This window comes from Homo sapiens, chromosome 13 (assembly GCF_000001405.40).
Source record: "Homo sapiens chromosome 13, GRCh38.p14 Primary Assembly".
In the NCBI taxonomy this organism is placed as follows: Eukaryota; Metazoa; Chordata; class Mammalia; order Primates; family Hominidae; genus Homo; species Homo sapiens.
In genome coordinates this window covers 111,113,569-111,134,787 of record NC_000013.11, presented here as the reverse complement: position 1 = coordinate 111,134,787, position 21,219 = coordinate 111,113,569, and the positions used below count along the sequence as shown (strand labels likewise).

General features: G+C 46.1%; 1 protein-coding gene and 1 long non-coding RNA gene across 20 annotated transcripts in view, besides 3 other annotated features; one reads left to right on the top strand and one right to left on the bottom strand.

The window, feature by feature from the left end:
• ARHGEF7 (Rho guanine nucleotide exchange factor 7) overlaps positions 1-20,169 on the bottom strand; it is a 191,116-nt gene extending 170,947 nt beyond the window's left edge. For 16 of the 19 annotated variants that reach the window (XR_007063704.1, XM_047430722.1, XM_006719956.4 and 13 more), the window contains exon 1: positions 19,097-20,169. Coding sequence is in view for 16 of the 19 variants with exons in the window: in XM_047430722.1 (XP_047286678.1) it covers positions 19,097-19,261 (165 nt within the window). In the remaining 3 variants the exon portion in view is untranslated. The remainder of the gene's footprint in view (positions 1-19,096) is intronic. The other 3 variants (NM_001354048.1, NM_001354056.1, NM_001354046.2) reach the window with 2 other exon arrangements.
• Positions 5,201-5,250: a silencer, noted in NCBI's record as "silent region_5527". NCBI's record gives its function as "represses an Ori minimal core promoter by ATAC-STARR-seq in GM12878 lymphoblastoid cells {active_cell/tissue: GM12878}" and the evidence as "EXISTENCE:reporter gene assay evidence [ECO:0000049][PMID:35858748]".
• Positions 14,147-14,285: a silencer, noted in NCBI's record as "fragment chr13:111772850-111772988 (GRCh37/hg19 assembly coordinates)". NCBI's record gives its function as "represses an EF-1alpha promoter that drives an FKBP-Casp9 reporter gene in an ReSE screen in HepG2 liver carcinoma cells {active_cell/tissue: HepG2}" and the evidence as "EXISTENCE:reporter gene assay evidence [ECO:0000049][PMID:32094911]".
• ARHGEF7-AS2 (ARHGEF7 antisense RNA 2) lies at positions 19,110-20,976 on the top strand. The gene is made up of 2 exons (NR_046667.1): positions 19,110-19,241; positions 19,870-20,976. It is a non-coding gene; the product is annotated as an ARHGEF7 antisense RNA 2 (long non-coding RNA).
• Positions 19,516-19,605: a silencer, noted in NCBI's record as "silent region_5526". NCBI's record gives its function as "represses an Ori minimal core promoter by ATAC-STARR-seq in GM12878 lymphoblastoid cells {active_cell/tissue: GM12878}" and the evidence as "EXISTENCE:reporter gene assay evidence [ECO:0000049][PMID:35858748]".
• Positions 20,977-21,219: the final 243 nt, after the last annotated feature.

Genomic DNA, 21,219 nt, shown 5'->3' with positions numbered 1-21,219 from the left:
GAGCTTCTGCACAGCAAAAGAAACTACCATCAGAGTGAACAGGCAACCTACAGAATGGAAGAAAATTTTTGCAATCTACTCATCTGACAAAGGGCTAATATCCAGAATCTACAAAGAACTCAAACAAATTTACAAGAAAAAAACAAACAACCCCATCAAAAAGTGGGTGAAGGATATGAACAGACACTTCTCAAAAGAAGACATTTATGCAGCCAACAGACACATGAAAAAATGCTCATCATCACTGGCCATCAGAGAAATGCAAATCAAAACCACAATGAGATACTATCTCACACTAATTAGAATGGCAATCATTAAAAAGTCAGGAAACAACAGGTGCTGGAGAGGATGTGGAGAAATAGGAACACTTTTACACTGTTGGTGGGACTGTAAACCAGTTCAACCAGTGTGGAAGACAGTGTGGCAATTCCTCAGGGATCTAGAACTAGAAATACTATTTGACCCAGCCATCCCATTACTGGGTATATACCCAAAGGAATATAAATCATGCTGCTATAAAGACACATGCACACGTATGTTTACTGCGGCACTACTCACAATAGCAAAGACTTGGAACCAACCCAAATATCCAACAATGATAGACTGGATTAAGAAAATGTGGCACATATACACCATGGAATACTATGCAGCCATAAAAAAGGATGAGTTCATGTCCTTTGTAGGGACATGGATGAAGCTGGAAACCATCATTCTCAGCAAACTATCGCAAGGACAAAAAACCAAACACCGCATGTTCTCACTCACTGAACAATGAGAACACTTGGACACAGGAAGGGTAATATCACACACCGGGGCCTGTTGTGGGGTGGGGGGAGGAGGGAGGGATAGCATTAGGAGATATACCTAATGTAAATGAGGAGTTAATGGGTGCAGCACACCAACATGGCACATGTATACATATGTAACAAACCTGCACACTGTGCACATGTACCTAGAACTTAAAGTATAATAAATATATATATATATATATATATATATATATATATATATATATATATATATAAAGAAAAGCAGATTCTCTGCCCCATCCCAGTCCTACGAAATCAGGAACTCTGGGGGTGGTGTCCAGCACTCAATTTCCACAGGTCCTTGGGCAGTCTCACATACACCCAAATTTACAAACCATATAACCACCTAGACAAAAGAAAAAAAAGATGGAAGAACCATCTTACTTGAAGACAACTTGGAAAAACATGTACTGCCAATTCTGATGTCAGTGACATCACTGACATTTCTGTATGTGATGGACAAAAGTTCGTGTTGAGCAGCTCTGCCATTTCTGACTATAAAAGGAGGAAAACCAAACCAACCCAGATATTTTCCGCCCATAAGCTGAAACGTATGTATATATGTGCATACATATACATGCGTGTATCAACATGTGTATAGATATGCACGTGTTCAAGTATGTTTATGTGTGTGCATGTGTATGTCTGCATATGTGCATATCCATGTGTATAGGCATATGTGTTTATAGATACGTGCATATAGAGGTGTGTATATACTGTATGTATATATGCGCATATGTGTGCATTATATAATGCACACATATATACACATATACACGCATATATACACATACATACACGTGCACATATATACACATATATACACGTGCACATGTGTACATATGCACGTGTATAAATGTGTAGATAGCATGTATGTATATGTGTATATATGCATGTGTATATACATGTGTATATGTGTGCATACATATGTGTATATGCATGTGTATATCTGTGCATGTGTATATATAAATATGTATGCATATACGTGTATATATACATGTGTGTACAGATGCATGTGTGTATATGCATAGATGTGTGTGTACTTATGTGTGTACATGTATGTGTGTGTGTATATCATTCTCCCTTCCCTCAATATCCCTACCCCTACTCCCAATAACACTCTCTACCCACCTTCCTCTAAAAAAAAAAGGATTAAAAAGAAAAAAGTAAGTGGTGAGTTTACTTCTCCCACACATGGAGACAGAACTGAATTGTTCATGTTTTCATGCTTTGAGTTAGAAAAATAATTCCCCAGGACATGACTTACATTTACTGCAGTTATTTAGGAACTATATTCCCAATGAGCACCCCTGGATTTGCTTCATCTCCATCCATTTAGCATGATATGTAATACACTGTGAGCGTTTTCTAAAGGGAAAGAAAAAGTCAATCCCAGGAGAGACACAAGTGTATTCATAACATTCTCACAACAATAGTCCTCAACATGCACCTGAACTTTCTAAAACTTATACATTGACTTCCCTAAAATACCTTAATGATATCAAATCTAGACTATCAAATGTCACCTGCAAAACAGAGACTCAGCAGAGAGCAGCTAGTTTTGGCAGTGTCCCCATCCTGACCTCAGAAGCCATTCACTATCAAATGAATCAAAGGGGAAATATTAAACACCTGACATCAATACATGTATAAGCTGGAGATGAAAGTCTTAGACATTTTGAGAGTAACAAACAACTGTTCAGGCTCAACGCAACACTTATTGGCCTTAAACCACCAGATGCATCCATCAGGAAGGAAAAGAACACACTTTAAAATGTGGGAAAGGAAAGAAAAAATATCAGACATTCTCCCCTAAAGCGGTTGAAAGGGATACAGTTTGCTAGAGCCTCCTTTATCAAGAAAAACACGCTGACCCTCACTGAAGATCACTTCCTCTTAACCAAACATTCAAGACAGTTAATGAGTGCCCTAATCTCCCGCTCAGTTCCCTGCCAATTGCTACAGGTGCATGCACCCCTCCATGGGTGGGTTTCCACAGGGCTCACGGTCCACCCCCTCACTGAGTCCACCCCTCTCTCATACTCCACAACTCTATTCCAACATTTCCACTCCCCTCTGCGACTGCCAGGCTCCCTCCCAGCCCCCTCTTCAGTCCTGGGCATGCCTGCATTGCTCCAGTATGTGGGCTCTGGGTGTGTGCTGGCCAGTTGTCCTAGAACAGCTAGGAATAGCACCCTCCTTCCCACCCAGCACAGGCCCAAGCCAGCAGACAATCTTCTGAATTGCACTCACCTGACCTCTCAGAAACACACCAGCACTCTCGTCCCCTGACCTCAGGTCACTGCCCGTCTCCTAATGGCCTCTGACCACCCTGCCTTAGTTTCTCTCTTCAGGCTCATCAGCACCACCTGGTTATTCATCTCCACCCTTCCCAAGGCTGGCCCTTGGCCTTCTCACGTTCGCACTTTAACTGCCCTGTAAGAAACCTCACAAGTCCTTCAGCTTCAGTACATATCTCTGTACTACGAGTCCCACGTGTATGCTTCAGTCCAGGGGGCCTCTAAGCTCCAACAGCTCTATGCGGATGCCTCCAACGACACACCCAACCCTGAATCCATTCCTGATCTCCTTGCCCCAAACCTAGGTAAGCCTCGCCCAGGGCTCCAGCACAGGCGACCGCCCCATCTATCCTGTTGTGCAACCAGAAACCCAGGAGTCACCCAAATCACTGTCCCCCTGTCTGCCCGCCGCCGCACCCTCCTGGGCTCCCTTGGTGCCATCCCCATCTCCTTGTCAGCACTGCCTCCACTCCAGCCCAGGCTCCCACAGCTCTCCATGGGCAACCGTGGGAGTTTCATAACCATCTTCACATCCTCCATCCTGGGCTCATTTCATCTGTTCTCCACGCTATGGCTAGAGTATTGTTTTCAAAGCACAGAACTGATCATATCATTCTTCCCTTAAAAATTTGAAAAGTATCAAAACCTTTGCAAACTAAGGGCCCACCAGCCCTGTGCTGCCTGGCTCTGCCTGTCTCTCCGCGTCCCCTCGGTTCCAGCACTACCCATCCAGGCCTTTCCTCGCCACTCCCAGCAAAGCAGGCCTCCTCTTGCCCCAGGCCTTGAAGGGCCCCTCTGTGTAGGGGTGCATGCCCCTCCTCTTACGACAGCTATGCATCAGTCAGAGGGCAACTCAAATGCCACTTCTTGAGGACAGCCTTCCCCAAACCGCCACTGGGGCCCCATCTGCCAAGGGGCATAGTTTCTTCTGCTGCGTGTTTGGAAATCTGTCTCTTGCCTTCAGCGCACATAGCTCATGTGTGATACAATCAGTTCGTGTAATTCTTTTCACGTTATTCTCCCCCACTAAATAGTATGCGAGTCTATTTCTGCGAAATCTCCAGTTCCTAGCACTATCCTTGGAACATAGTAAAGATTTGATGAGAAAATAAACAAATAAATCAATAAATGAACTGTCAATAAATCACTTCCCCTAATAAAACATAAGTACACAATTTACCATTGCACATTAAAATTCTATACATTTTCTAAATTCACGATTAGGTTCAAAAGTAGGGGACAGCAAATAACATGAGTTAAAGCTCCATTACACTCAACAAAAACGTAATTATGCTCAGGGTAAAGACTGTCATATGCCGTATTGAGGTATCACTGACATGCAATAAACTGCTCATATGTAAACTGTGCACTTTGATAAGTTTTGACATAGTGCAACCTGATGGAACTGTCACAAGAGGCAAGGTAATGACTCTGCCCCTCACGCAGAGGTCTCCTTGAGCTACTCCACAATCACTTTCTCCTACCCCAGCTATTGTCCCCAAGCGAGCACTGATTTACTTTCTGTCACTAGAAATCTTCTATAAATGGAATCATACATTAAGTACTTTCTTGTCTGGCTTCTTTTATTCAGCATAATTTTGAGAATCATCCATGTCATGGAATATTCCTTCTTATTGCTGAGCCGTGTTCCATTACAGGAATATACCACAATCTGTTTATCTATTCACCAACTGTAAAACATCTGCATTATTTCCAGTTTGTGGCTATTAAAAATACAGCTGTTATGAACACTTGTGTGCAAGGCGTGGTATGGCCGTATCGTTTCCATTTTCTTGGGCAGACATCTCAAAGTAGAATAGCTGAAACATTTGGTAGATGTATGTTTACTCCTTTAAGAAACGGATCAACTGTTTTCCGAAGCAGTTGTACAATTTTACCTTCCCACTGTCAGTGCATGAGAGTGCTGGTTCCCTCACATACACGCTAACACTTGGGAGGATCACTCTGTTAGATTTCAGCCGTGATGATACGTGTGTAGTGGTATCTATCTCCTTGCAGGTTTCATTTCCACTTCCCTAATGACTGATAATGTTGAGCTTCTTTTTGAGTGCTTATTTGCCATCTGTACATATTTTGTGGTGAAATGTCTATTCAAACCATTTGCCCATTTTTAAAATTAGGCTCTTTATTAAGTTTTGAGAGTTCTTTACATATTCTAGCCACAAATCCTTAAACAGACATGTGATTTGCAAATATTTTCTTCCAATATATAGACTGTCTTTTCATTCTCTTAACAGCGTCTTTTAAATAATAGAAGTTCTTTTTGTTTTGATTAAGTCCAATTTGTCCACTCTTTCTTTTATGGAATTCTTTCTTCTATGGATCATGTTTTTGGTGTCATATATAAAAAATATTTGCCTAGTCCAAAGTCACAAATGTTTTCTCTTATATTTTCTTCTAGGAGTTTTTTAGTTTTAGGCTTTACATTTAGATCTATGATTCATTTTTAGTTAATTTTTGTATACTAAGAGGTATAGATCAAAGTTCATCTTTAAAAATATGGGTATCTACTTGTTCCAGTATCATTTACTGAAAAGAGTGTCCTTTGGACAGCCAAGTGTCTTGGCACCTTTGTTGAAAATCAGTTGTCTATGTCTTTAAGGATCTAATTCTACCTCTATTCTGTTCTGTTGATCTATTTCTCTATCTTTATTGCAACGTTGTGCTGACTCCATTACTGTTGTTTTATGAAAACCCTGGAAACCAAGTCCTCCAACTCTCTTCTTCCATTTCAAAGTTGTTTCTAGGCCCTTTGCCTTTCCATAGACACTTTAGAATCATTTATCAATTTCTACTGAAAAAATTCTGGGATTTTGGTTGTGACTCTGTTGAATCTATAGATCAATATGAATAGAACAGCTTAAAAGCAAGACTTCTGACCCAGAATGTTATGTATAGCCCCATTTACTTAGATCTTTCATTTCACTCAGCAATATATGTTGCTGAGAGTGTACATGTTTTTCTTATCTTTTGTCAGATTTATTCCTAAGCATTTGTCTTTTCTTTCATTTCTTTGCTATTGTAAATGGTATTTTAAGTTTCAATTTCTGATCATTTGTTGCTAATATATAGAAATACAACTGATTTTGTATATTAACCCTTCAACCTTGCTAAACTGACTTACTGGTTTTTTGTTTGTTTGTTTGTTTGTTTGTTTGCTTGTTTGAGACAGGGTCTCGCTCTGTCACCCAGGCTGGAGTGCAGTGGCACAATCTTGGCTCACTGCAACCTCCAACTCCCAGGTTCAGGCGATTCTCCTGCCTCAGCCTCCTGAGTAGCTGGGATTACAGGTGTGAGCCACCACATCCAGCTGACTTACTAGTTCTAGTAGCTATTTTGTAGATCCTATACAATTTCCTACACAATCATATAGTCTACACATAAAGACAGCTTTACTTCTTCCTTTTCAATCTAGATGGCTTTGGTTTCTTTTTCTTGCTTGATTGTACTGGGTGAGACCTCCAGTGTAAGGTTGAACAGAAGTGGTAAGAGTGAACACCCCTGTCTTGTTCCTGATCTTAGGGGGAAAGCTTTTAGTCTTTCACCATTGAGTCTCACATAGGCTGTAGGTTTTCATGGATGCCCCTTAGCATGTTGAGGAAGTTTCCTTCTATTCCTAGATCACTGGGAGTGTTTACCAAGAGTTTACGTTGGATTGGATTGCATTGAATGCTTTTTCTGCCATCCATTGAGATAATCCTCTGGATTTTTCTCTTTTAGTTTGTTAATATCATGAATTGTATTGATTGATTTTTATTTCCTGAGATAAATGCTTCTTGGTTATGATATCTTATCTTTTACATGTAATGCTGAAATTGATTTGCTAAATTTTTTGAAGGTTTACATCTATGTTCATAGGGGTTATTGGCCTATAGTCTTTTCTTATAATATTTTTGTCAGGTTTTGTTACCAGGATAATGCTTACCACTTAGAATGGTTTGGGAAGTACAACCTCACTATTAATCTTTCTTCCTTCCTTCCTTCTTTTTTTTTTTTTTTTTTTTTTTTTCTGAAACAGAGTCTCACTCTGGCACCCAGGCTGAAGTGCAGTGGTGTGATCACGGCTCGCTGCAGCCTCAACCTCCCAGGCTCAGGTGATCCTCCCACCTCAGCCTCCTAAGTAGCTGGGACCAGAGGCACATCCAGCTAATTTTTAAAATTTTTTGTAGTGATGGGGGGAGGGTCTCACTATGTTGCTCAGGCTGGTCTCAAACTCCTGGCCTCAAGCAATCCTCCCTCCTAAAATGCTGGGATTACAGATGTGAGCCACTGCACCTGGCCCAATTTTTATTTCCTAGAAGAGCTTGTGTAAAATTACAGTTATTTTTTTCTTAAAAGCTTGGTAGAATTTACCAGTGAAACTATCTGGCCTGGAATTTTCTTTATGAGAAGAATTTTATCTACAAATTTATTTCTGTAATAGATGTAGGGTTATTAAAGTTATCAATTTCTTCTTTAGTGAGCTTCGTGTCTTCCAAGAAAGTTATCCATTTCATCTAAGTTGTAGAAATTGTTGGCATAACAATGTTTTCATATCCACTTATTATCTTTCGATATCTGTAAGATCTGTGGTGATTCCTTACGTTGGTAATTTCTGTCTTTTCCCCGTTTTTCCTAATCAGTCCACAAACAGGTTTATCAATGTTATTGATTCTTCTCAAATAACCACCTTTCAGTTTTGTTTGTTCTCGCTAGTAATTTTCTAATCTCCATTCTGTTCTTTATTATTCTCTTTCTCCTACTACTTAATTTGAGTTTAATTTGCCCTTATTTTTCTAGTTTCTTAAGGTGGAAGCTCCATTACAGGCAACAAAAGATTTGACTATGTGCAGGGTGAGTGGTGTCTCACTCCCAGAATTTCATTTGAGGAATTCATAAACAGTGTGCTTATGACTCCAGGTTATTTGTTTGAAGAGCCAACCCTAGATAGCTGACATTGCAATTACTCAGATTCAATCTAGGGAAATGAGCTTGGTCAGAAGTGCCATAAATGAACTTTTATTTTTCTCCATTTGTCATCAATTGATAAAGTCTGAAAGACATTCCATTCTAGTCTCTTATCATGGAAAATTATGGCTTCTAGGGCACTTTCTGGAAGTTTAACCTTTGTCACAAGTCACAAGAATTTGGCCATATTCTATTTTGTTAAAGGCTTTTTTTTTTTTTTTGAGATGGAGTCTCGCTCAGCTGCCCAGGCTGGAGTGCAGTGGCACGATCTCGGCTCACTGCAACCACTGTCTCTCGGATTCAGGTGATTCTCCCGTCTCAGCCTCCCAAGTAGCTGGGATTACAGGCACCCGCCATCATGCCCAGCTAATTTTTGTATTTTAGAAGAGACAGGGTTTTACCATGTTGGCCAGGCTGGTCTTGAGCTCCTGACCTCAGGTGATCCGCCTACCTCGGCCTCCCAAAGTGCTAGGATTATAGGCGTGAGCCACCGCGCCCAGCCTTAAAGCCTATTTTCAAAAGAAACAAAAATCCTTAACAAATAGGGATGATTATAACCAGAAAATGTGTTTCCACCAGAAGACATCTGTCACCAGCACCAGTGCTTTATGAGATCAGTGAGACAAACCCAGGTCTTAAGGCACTTTCCTAAGCACCACAGAGGAAGCCCCAATGACATTGCTCAAGGTAAACAGAGGCCTGGACTGATTCCACATGGGCAGGTGAGGCTCTCCCTCTTCCTGAGGAGCCAAACAGACACAATCAGAACCAGGAATATCCTCTGAATCTCCCAATTTCCTATCAAAATCACTGTAGCATTCTTCCTTAAAGTGAATGACAAAGCCACAATCTTTTGGCATGTGTTCAGAAAGCAAAAGGCTTTTTCAGAAAATCTGTATTCCTAACAAAAGACATCTGAAAAATCTGCTAACTACAAATGGGTACTTAAAAGTCCCTTATGAACTTAAGCTACTTTAAGGACAGGACATTGGTGAAAAAGTATTCTGGCACAGGAAATTAGTAGTGAGACACTCAGAATTGAGGGAGAAAAGCCATCACTGGCCATAATATTTACAAATAATCAAAACCAGGCCACTTTAAAGGCGTTGCTAATAGATCACACTGTCAGAACAAGGCTTCATGGCGAGAGAACACGCAAATCCAAACACACTTGGAGCTGTGGATGCCCATTTTAGACAAAGGCAATTTAATATAAACTGGACGAGGCTTACGTTTCTTTTATATACACTTTTTGGGATTCTGAATTATATATAGCTTCTATAGAGAAAAGATAGGATGATCACCAGCCCCTAAAAAAAAAAAAAGCTGCTCCAAGTGTAATAATAAAGTTATGCACAAAATACCAAGCAACAAGAAAAAAAAGAACATTTCAAATAACCAGCTTCCAGTTTTGTTTTCTCTAGTAATTTTAAAGTACTCAGAAGAAGAGATATGAAACCCAGGGCATAGGACATGGATATTCATTCATATATTCTCACTCTCTCTCTTTTTCTCATCATGGAAAGATTCCAGGTCCAAAGCAGTACAGTAAAATTATTTCAGCCTCACTTCTCTTGAAAAAAAATCCCTCCAAAACAGCCAGGAGAACAAGAAACACAAGCATCATCTTCAATAAAACTAGAAGACACCTGGTTGGGCGCACTGGCTCACACCTGTAATCCCAGCACTTTGGGAGGCCGAGGTAGGCAGATCACGTGAGGTTAGGAGTTTGAGACCAGCCTGGCCAACATGGTGAAACCCTGTCTCTACTAAAAATACAAAAATTAGCCGGGCATGGTGGCGCACACCTGTAGCCTCAGCTACTCGAGAGGCGGGGGCAAGAGAATCACTTGAACCCGGGAGGCGGCCGTTGGAGTGAGCCGAGATCGTGCCATTGGACTCCAGCTTGGGTGACAGAGTGAGATTCTGTCTAAAAAACAAAACAAAACAAAAAAAACTAGAAGACACCTATCCCCAGGCCACCATTATGAAGGCAGGGAGCAGACGGAGGATGGGTGGGGCTTCAGCAGAGACTAGAAGGTCCCATCCCAGTAGCCAGTGGCAAGTGCACCCTCCCAGGTGGTAGACAAGCCACCTGTCTGAGAGTCAGATGCAGGCCTAGGGGCCCCAGCCCCATCACAGCTGGCCACCCCTCTTGCCATCCTTGCAGGGGTCCGAGGCTTATTCTCTGGGGAAAAGTGAACCAAAGAGGCCAGAACATGGAGAGGGCCAGCATGGACAGGAGCCAAGGTGAGGATGGACACTGCTCTGATAGGCAGCAGATGGAGGAGTCTCTGGAGAGACTCACGGCTGCTGGAGAAGAGACCAACAGGTTCAGACTTCTGGGCATCACCAGGCTGCCCCATGGCGAGACCTGCATGTCCCTGGGCCCCAGCAGTCACACAGGACTTCCTGGTCATTTTGAGGGCCTCACACTTGAAAGATCACATGATGTTTCAGTAAATCTCCAACATGGAAAAAAAGAATTGCATAAGAGGACTCAGAGGAAACAGAGACAGTGAATGCAGGGAAGGAAGCACCCTTCAAGGAAACTGTAATGAATGTTCACAGGAAGAGAGGAATCTTCCCAGAAACAGGAAGGGACTGACTGAAAGGGAAGAAACAGAGAGAAACCAGATAACGAGAAAAAAGAACTTTTAGAAATTAAAAAAAAAATAGCCAAAGTAGGTCAAAATAAAAAATGTTAGTAGAAAAGTTGGGAGATAAAGTCAAGGAAATGTCTTTCAGAAGGAGAAGAAACATACAAGTGGAAAGGTCAGCAAATGAGAGACTCAACCCAGCAGGCCTGGCAGCCGCAGGGGCAGGGGGCGGGGCCGGGGGGGGGGGGCGCAGCCCACCAGCCAACGATGGCCAGTTACCAGCCGCTCTGGAGCTCCGTTTCCTAATCTGAAAATGGGGGCGATCCTGTCACCACCTCCCTTATAGGGTGGTGAGGAGGGTTAAATCCATTATTATGGGCAAAGTCCTTAGAACAGTGCCTGGCATACAGTATGCACTCAATAGATATTATCTCTGATTAGTCTTAATAAGATTTCTAAAAAATGAGAATAGAGAAAATACTAGAGAGGAAATTATCAAGGAAATAAAGGATATAGAGGGTATTTTAAACAAAGGTACAAGCACTCTTGTGATTGGGATGGACTGTATTTACATATATCGGCATGTCCCCTAGTTAAGAATGGCACGGGCATGTATGTGTGTGTGTGTGATTTGTTATCTATGGCCATGGTAAACCTCAGTGGCTGGCTTGAGTCAGCCTGGTCCGGGCCTGCTGGTGCAGCTGTGCCTGCTCTGGGCAGGGCAGGCAGCTTGCTGACCCTGGCTGGGCTCTCTTCAATGTTTGAGGTTGGCTGGCTGTGGATAGGTCCAGGATGGCCTAGCAGGGACAACTGAGTTCTCCTCCATGTGATCACACCCCACCAGCACCCAAGCCCTGGGGTCTCCTCGGAGGTAGACACAGGGCCTGAGAGAGTGCAGAAAAGTGCAAGCCTTTCCAAGGCCTGGGCTAGGAACTAACACTGGCCACTTCTGCCACAGTCCATTGGCCAAAACAAGTCACAGCTCAGATTCAAGAAGTGAGGAAGCAGACTCCTACCTCTTGATGGAGGCGCTACAAGGTCACTTTGCCAGGGGCATGGGAGGGTTGGAGAATTGGGGCCACTTCTATCGTCTACCCCAACCCTTCTCCACTCTGCTTTGTGTCCTGGGAGGCTGACCTCTATACACAGTATCCCAGGGCCGCCTCCCAGCACAGGCCTTGGAGCCATTTGCTTAGACTACAGTGTGAACGGTTCTCCCAAGACCGGGCAGTACACAGCTTACACAACCACATGCAGGTGCCCTCAGTGAAGCCATCTGCAAAAGGAGGCGTCTGGGCTGGATGACTCTACATTCCTTCATCCTGAGAACTCACAAATACTTTATACCCAAGATCCTAGCATTTCTCTTCTGACCTGCCTGAAGAGGTGGTATGGCTGGCATCCATGCGTGCGCTTCCATGCGTGTGATTGGGTCACTAGCACGCACACAATAGGAACCTGGTAAAAGGGATGATTAAATGAATTCACATACATGTGTTTGAAATACACTGTGCACACATTCCATTTCAGTTCCCCTCACCGCCTCGCCTTGAGACCCCAGCAGACATGACACCATCCTGCAAAAACAGAGTTGAGAACTGCCAGCCTGGTGCATCAAACCTTAAAAATTCAAAGCTAAAGTTAGAAATATAAAAACATCAAGAGATTAATTCTCCTACCCTAACTTGACAGAACTGATAAAGGAGGGAGAAGTCAGAAGCTGTACCCGGGAAGCAGTCGGACCGGGGCGGCCCCAAAGCCCTCTCTCTGCAGACACCAGGTGGGGCAGGCTGGCCCTCACTTCCCATCTCTGACTCCCGGCCCTGCTGATGCATGAAACTTTATATAAGCGAAACCTGAGTCCACCCGCTCAGCCCTCCCGCTCCCCAACCAGCAGCTGTGTGCACTCAGCAGCTGCGCCCAGATCTGGCGCTGACCAGAGGGCCCTGGAAGCCACGTTCAGCAGGCCCACCAACCCAGACAATGGTGGTCTGTCCAGAGTGGGATGCAGAGGCTGCCAGCCCCCGAAAGTTGCAAGAGTCTGCCCTGTTGTGAGAATTAACCCGTGTTCCTGGATTTGGATGGCTCTGAGGTTCAAATCTTGGCTTACAGTCTTCTGGACACGATGGGGAAGGTTTTCAGTGTCAATCAACAAAACAGTAACTACTGCGTACTGAGGAATGACTTTGTGCCCAGCACATCTACTCATTTACCCTGGTAATGACCTCACTGCCCCCACCAGTGGATATCATTCATCTCATTTTTAGGAGGAAGAAACTAGGACTCCGAGAGGTTAGACAGGTGCCGGAAGTCACAGAGCAAATGGCTGCGGGAACAAAGCCAGGTGTGCCTGACTCTGAAGCACGCAGAGGACCGGGTCTCCCAGTGTCTCCAGGCAGGGACCCGTGGGTTCGGGGGATGCCAGTCCTCCCATCTCCCAGCGATGCACGTGGTAGAGTTGCGTGCCCAAAGGGATGATGTGCCTCTGCCACCTCCCTCGTGCAGTGAGAGACGCGTGGGCGTCAAGCCTACACAAGACTCCAATCCAAACGGCTAAAATCCACCCTACACAAGAACAAACGGCTCTGCCCCCACTCACCTCACAGCCCCCATCGCCTCCACTCTTTACATTTTAGAGTGATCAGTGGCCTCTAAAGGGAGAGAGATGTTCGTGTGTACATAGTACTTGAATTTTAAAAGTGTGTGTGGTGTAGATGCACACAGTTTGAAATCTTGGACTAAGTGGAAATCTGGTAAGCCCTACAGAGTAGGGAAGCCCAGAAACTACAGTGAGTTATTGGATGGTACAGGAACACGGAACACACGTTCTGCGGCCGGGGAGAAAGGCCCAGACACAGACTTCTGCAGGAGCTTCTGCAGGTTCCCCCAGGGCAAGGGGCCCTACCCTGGGTGCCTTTGGGGTCTGTCTACTGAAGGGCAGAGCTGCTTCCAGATGTCCCGAGAAGTGAGACACCTGCAGTGGCTCCAGGCACTCCTGAGGGCTCCCACTCTGCCCCTGTGGCCGGTGACCTGAGCCAGCCCCTCCAGTCCTCACTTTTGTCCCCCCTGGGTGCTCAGTTACACTGCTGCCTCCGTCTCCTTTCCTGATCTGGTTTGTAAATTTCTGAAGGCAGTGGTTGCGAATCTTCCCCTAAGTTCAGTATAGGTGGCAGAATCAGTCTTGTTTTCCATGAGAAAGCTCACAGTCTTGAGCTGGAATCTTCCGCCTCCGAGTGCAGCCAGATGACCTGGGGCAAAGCTAACTGCCAGACCTCAGGGTCCTCATCTGCAGTATGGGTATTGCGAGGGACAGCGCCTGCAAACGAGAGGAGCATGCTGCCTGCCATGCTGGGCAGACATCTTATTCTCTTTTAAGATGTATAGAAAGGCAGGCAGTGCCTAAAGAAAGGAGGCGAGCAGGCAGATTCTGGAGTGACTTCTATTAATAGAATGAGGGCCGGGTCCTGAGATGGCATCCTTTGGACTGGGCTTGGAGAGTTCACAGAGCAGCTGCCCCTGAGAAAATGGAATGCCACATGTGCCAGCACTCCTTCCCCCACTCCCTCAACCCCCGTCAGACGTGTCTGTGTGTGCGTGTGTGCGTGTCTATGTACACGCATGTGTCTGTGTGTGTGTGTATTTACATGCATGTGTTTACGTATGTGCATGTTTGTGCAGGCATGCATGCGTGTGTGCATAAGTTCGTGTGTGCACATGCATGTGCAAGTGTGCATGTATGCGTGTGTGTATGCTTGTGTGTGTGCTCTCCTGTGTCTGTGTGATGCCAACATAAACACTAGTTTCTAGTCTGGTTCTCAGGAAATCTCTTCAGGCACTCCTGATTTAAATTGAATTTCAGTTTGTTTGCTTTCTTTTTAGTGAGCCAGCAAATGCAGTTCCAGCTACCTTCTTCCCTAGGCCTGAAACCCAAACAAGAATCACACTGGTTCAGGGTTGAGACAGGACTATAAAGTCACATGCTTCAAAAGGAAATGTTTATTATTGCAAAATTCACTATTCTGGAACCATATTCAGGGTAGTTTAGTTAGAAGCAACTTGATATAACCAGTTATTCAGTTTGCAGGGTTTAAAGAAGTCTCCTTAAAAACACAGTCTGGAGATACCATATTATAACTTCTCTATAAGTGACTTAGCCAATCAACAAGTCTTTATGACGGCTACAGGTCACGGGCCTGAGTGAGAACCTTACCCTACCACCACATGTGATCACTCATCACGTTCTTTTTAGGGCCAAAGGACCTAAGAAAAGGCACATTTCTAGCAGGTGAGCACTTCTGCTTCTCCTCACCCCAGCCCCTAACCAACCCCAGAATCCTGACACTGAGCAGAAAGTGAGTCTCCAGTTTACCTAGAAAAAAGTATTTCCTTTTTTCCTATGCAACATCAGATTTGCTGATTTTCTGCAAGCCTGTGGAAAATCACCTAGGGCTGCCAGGTTACAGTTTGGGAAATGCAAACCATATTCTTACCCACACGTCAGCAAAGTCTTGGGTCTGACCTGCTCAAATGCTGGTCTTTTTAGCTCCTTGATTCTTTTGCTCCTTCTCATCCATATCTGACATTACGACTCTTGACTTCCTTCTGCCTCATGCTGTTCTTGTCTTTCGAGTTACATTTTCTGTACTGGAACCCCCAAGACTCTATTATTTAGGTTTTGCAATCTCCCCTAGCACCTGGCATTGTGCAATCAGATCAATAGCTAATAAACTGATCTGGTTCAAATGTAGAAACAACCTGTCATGAGCTGAACTGTGCTCCTCCAGCATTCGTATTTTGAAGTCCTAACCCCCAGTATCTCAGGATGGGGCCTTATTCAGAAATGAAGTTAATGCAGATGTAATCGGTTAAGATGAGGCCATACTGGGGTAGGGTGCCCCTAATGCAATTCCACTGATGTCCTGCTAAAAAGGAGGAATTTGGACACAGAGAAGAAACCACAGCACGGACATCATGTGAAGATTGGACTTGTGTTGCCACAAGCCAGGAACTACCAGAAGCCTGAGAGTGGCCTGGGACAGACCCCTCCTTGGAGCCTTCTGAGGGCACGAGGCCCTGCAGGTACCTTAATCCCAGACTTTGGGCCTCCAGAGCTGAGAGACAAATGCCTCCACATCCAGCACTAAGACCCGAGGCAGCGTCTGATTTTCAATTACATTCCACAAACACCTAGCCAGGGTTCTCGGGAGCACATCACATGGATTACACAGGAAGGTTCTCTGTGTTCTGTTCTCCTGGGACACACAGAGAAAGAACCAAGTTCCTTGAGTTTTTTATAGTGAGTTAAGAGACTTCATTTGTTGCATTCACAAGTGAAATTAAAAGAGCATTTCATGATTTCCATGATTTTAATGTGTTGTATTAGTCTTATAGAAATTTTCCATCCTCTACAATTCATGTATCTTGATTTCACCTCCTTTGACTAAATACCCTAGGGATGTTTAAAGTGAATTTGTGAGAAAAGGGCTTCCAGGGCTCCCTAGACGTCATGACCTCTGCTCACGGGAGGAGTGTGGGAAGCCGAAGACATGGGCAGCCCAGCCAAACATCCTGACCCCTCCTGGAGAAAACCAAAGTGCAGGATCTCCAGATACAGAGAAGGCGAAAACTTTTTAATCCCATTTTCCTCTCCCCTACAGCAGAAAACATCTGTCCAGTATAATGAAAAGTGTCTCTTTTCTGAACTGTTCATGTAAAGTTTATAATTCCATCTTCTCACTGTCTAACCTTCCACCTTAAAAGCAAAGCGGGAACCTGGGTGGAAAGTTTCCTTTAAATGAGCAGAAGAATCTGACACGCCGTGAACGTCCTCTCTGCTCCCTCCACCCTCTTCCTAACTCTGAAACAGAACAAATGAGCGTAATGGAAGAAACACATTAGGGCATGGTTTCTTAATAAAAGACATATGGGAAGCCCGAGGCACCCAGCCACGTTTTAGTTCTGCCCTCATCCCCAGCCTCATGGCCCATGCCAGGTTGTGAGCCTGCAGAGGCGAAGGCTGCAGGCCACTTGCCCTCCGCTCACTGGCTGTCAGGGCACTCCTGCAGCAGAGGTCAAGCGAAGCCCCTGTCATGTCCACATGAACATTCAGTTAAGTTTCCAAATGCTTCTTTTTAAGGAAAAAACATCCTCAGACTCACATTCCCACATTTAAGTAAAAGTTATTCAGCATGTGTGCTTTGTGGCATAGATTATCTGGTAAGCATGAAAACACCAAAAACCCAGATAACTGGCTGGGCGTGGTGGCTCACGCCTGTAATCCCAGCACTTTGGGAGGCCTAGATGGGACAATCCCTTGAGGCCCGGAGTTCAAGACCAGCCTGGCCAACATAGCAAGAACCCATCTCGAAGGAAGGAAGGAAGGAGAAAGAAAGAGAGAGAGAGACAGAGAGAGAGAGAGAAAGAAAGAAAGAGAAAAAGAAAAGAAAGAAAGAAACCCAGATAACTCTGCCTAGCAAATGGAAAAAGCTCACAAAACTTCTGAAACACAGGGATCTCAGAGGCAGAAAACGGCTAATATTTTACTCCAAAAACCTACCTTTGAACTCCAGAGAACCAGTAACTGTGTCTACAATACGCTGCCTTCACATTAAACTTTCATTGTGACAGAGTCAGTTTAACACAAACCAACTGGAGCTCAGGGGGAATCAAAAACAGCTCTGACCTAAGAAATTTCCAGATGACTGTAGTTTTAGAATATGTTGAGTTGTTTCAACTTGGCTTCTGCAAGCTCAACATTTTATTCGTTCTTCTCTTTGTTGTTTTAGAGATGAAATGAACGCTACGGTTTTCTAGGAAAATCTTTCTATAATTTAAAAGAAAATGATTATTGAAGTCGGCCAATCAATATTAATACAGTTAATATGCCAAACAACATATTCTTTGATGGCGACATGTTTTTATCAATACAGCATATGACACTTCTTAAAGCTTTGCTCTTAGGGATGGAACAGAATTTTATTTAAGCCTATTTTGGTGAACTTTGCATGCATTTCAACACTTTTCAACATCTGTCTTTCATTACCAGAGGTACCAGTATCCAAACAGCAAAGTATTTTGAATGCCTTGAAAGTCAGCTCCTGCTCCTCAGTCCTCCTGTCTTAAATCATAATTTCACTGTGACATCAGGTTCATTTTTAAGGAACATTTTTATTTCATGGACAGGCAGGCAGCCATTCACTCTAATATGCAGATTCTGTTTTCATAAAGATGTTCCAAGTAAGAAAAATAGCTAAAAGTGGAATGCAAGCCAAATTCATATTAAATAAAATGTTTTCTGACCTCATTTAAAATGTAGCAAGAGAATATGTACATGTGAATGAAAAAAATTAAACATTTTACTTTTTCAAGTCACTTACGTGGCATTTTATTTACAAGTTGTTGTCATCCTGTATGGGGGCCAATACACCCCACTTAAAAACTGAAATCCTTCTTCCTAATTATGGTACACTTCAATTTCTATATTTAACACCTTTTAAATAACTGTTGATCTTAACGCTATATATTGGCCACCCCCACCCCCACCCCACCCCCCGAAGAAACACCCTGGGAATAAGATTTTAGTATTTTGAGCTACAGGGAGACATCGTTTTTAGAAACTCTCCTGCCTCCTCGGCCCTGCTGGCCGGCTTGTGGGCGATGAAAACAAACTTTAATCACTTCCAGAGATTCGGGTCAGGGTTCACACGCTCCAGCCTGGGAACCACCAGCCGGAAGGGAGAAGCAGTGCCTGCAGGACTAAAGGTTCTGTTCAGAACGAGGGAGGGACCTGAGAACGAAATCTAGAATTTTAACAAGCCTTGAAGAGTGCCAGGACTTAGACCCTGTGTCTGCCGTCCTCTCGGCTCGGATAGGTGGGGAATTTTCTCGAGGGGAAAGTAGTAGATCGTTTCACAGCGCAGCCCTCAGCTACAGATGCGTGCCTCTTTAAAAATACAGAGCAACCGGTCAATTAACCTGGGAGGCGAAACTCACGCAACGCCACCGGCAAGAACTGTCCACACAAAGCCAGCGGAGTGAGCCGCACCGCGTCGGAACGCGGTTTCCGATGCGGCTGCTGCCAGGGAGCGGGGCCGGCCCCCCACGCGGAGGGGCAACTTAGCGTTCGGGCGGCGCAGAAGCCCCGTCTCCTCGCTGCGGTGCACTCTCCTTCCCGGGGACCCCCGCCGCCCGCGCCGCCCCTCCCCCCGACCCCGCTCCCCGGCCCCCTCCCCCTGCCCCGCACACAATGGCGCCCCCCGAGCTCCCGCCACGGTCCTGGCGCCGGCCGCGCCGCCGCTCCGCGCACAAAGGAGGGCGCACGGGTTTCCCGAGCGCGGCCGGCCTCAGGTGCTCCGCGCGCATCCCGGGCCGCAGCGGGCCGGACCGGGGGGCGCGGGCGGGGGCGCGGGCCGGGACTTACTTTCTCGATGGTCCCGGGGAGCAGGCGCTCCAGCAGCCTGCAGAGGACCACCCCATCCTTCAGCGACGCCTGCAGAAAGCCCTCCGGGTCCGAGATGGTTTTTTTGGGCGACTCCAGCACCCCCAGAGTGATGAGCCACGTAACGGTTTGCTCGGCGGAATTCATCGCTGCGGCCCGGGAGGCAGGCGGGGAGGGGCGCGCGCCTTCACCTCGGAGCGGCGGCCCGGCCCGCGGCCCCCGCCGCCGCCGCCGCCGCCTCGCCCATCGAGCGGCCGGCGCCGGCGATTGGCTCGGCGCGGCCCAGCAGGTCCGGCCCGGCCCGCTTCTCCGTGCGCCCCGGCCCGCTGTCAGGCGCCTTCTCAGGAGCGGCTCGGGAACCTGCGGGCGCCCGCCGCCGCCCCCCGGCCTCGGCCGCCGTCGCCCAATGACATCACCGCCAGGAGAAGAAAGACGCGGCCGTCCGCCCGGCCCGCGCCCGGCCCGCGCCGCCCCGCGCCCTGCGCAGCCTCCGCTCCAGGCCGTGCGCGGGGCGGCGGCGGCGGCTGGGAGCGGGCGGGGAAGGGAAAGGGGAAGGGGAGCGGGGAGCGGATGGGGAGGGAGCCGGGGGTGGGGGCGGGCGCGCACCTGCGCTTACCTGCCCCGGGCCCGCCGTGCGCCCCGCGCCCCTGGCCGGGGCACTCGGAAGCCTTTGTTTATGTTTTGAATTCGTGAGCGTTGAAATGATGAAGTACTTCCCAGAATGCTCTTTTTATTTTTGCCGGTTTTATTTCAAGGTGGCGGGGACAGGCTGAAAACGAGACGTTTGTTTCGCTTTGCTACCTTGCAAGCCGGTCATGACGGAACAGAAATGATGGTTCCATCTGAAGCCATATGGGTCTGAATCGGGAGGAACCGACTCTCCGGAGCGCGGCGCCGACCTCACCGGCAGGGCAGGGGCCTGCGCGACTCTGCTCTAGACGGACGGTGACGCTTCAGACCCTGCCGGGGGAAGGTCAAGGAAACGGCGTGGCCTGAAGTGGGGCTGTGCAGAGGGCCGGGCCGGGCCGGGCCGGGCGCCTGGCTGCGTCTCGGGGACGCCGAAGATCTGGGCTGTGAAAGCAGCAGGCCGAACCTGGAGAGCCCAGACGGCAAGTGTCGCGTCATGCGCGAGCTTCCTCGAACAACTGATGACACGCACACATTGACATGCGAGGAAGAAATGGAGCCTCTTCTTAAAAGGACACGAGTCTCCACTCACTCCATCCACTGTCCCTGGGCGCTCCCCCAGTTTGCTCGCTATGACCCGCGGGCAGTTTAACAAGCAAAGCACTTAGTCTATGCCAGGCACATACATTAATCCATTCAATGACAAAGGCTAGAAAGCATATAAAGCTTCCAAAAATAATCAGAGGCTTAAGTCGTCTCCCCCTGCCTTCTGCCGGTGGATTTCTCTTGCAATCACTAATTGCTTTTATTTCTAGCCTTGAGTTAAGTGGTTAAAATTTTCTTTGCAAATACAAAAAATATTCAAATGGCAGTATGAATTCTGGATTACGAGGACAATGTGCTCAGTGATAACAGCGACTGGTTAGGAACCGTCACAAAGTGCTGTCTACTGCCTCGCCTCCCATCATGGTCCCCTTTTACTGATCAGATGCCGAACAAGTGGCAGAGATAAGACCCAAAGCTCGGCTCCTACCAGGAAAGGCATACCTAACCCGTTTCCTACTGCTGCCCTATAAGCTTTCTAGGAAACAGGAGGGCAATTAACAGCTACATCAAGGCTTGTACCCAGTGTCTTCGTGGAAGGAAAGATGTCAACCCGGGGCGTGGTTGTACACCGAGACTTCTGTTCACTTTCCTTACTGCTGAATTAGAGAAATAATTTAATGCAGTCCTTACCATTTCGAATCCTACTAAATTCGGTTTGATACTTATAAGGTGGTAGACTTGAGTAAGATTCAAATAGACTCAATTAAATGGTCCTATAGAAAGCCAATTCTAGGGAGTGACCTTACGAGACCAGTGAAGCAGAGAGCCAATTCTTGTCGGACTGGAGACCCACAGTCCAGGTATTACAACTCGTCTTTTCTTGGTGGGGAGAAGCCCAGACTTTTAAACACTTTATGGTTACTAGTTGCGTT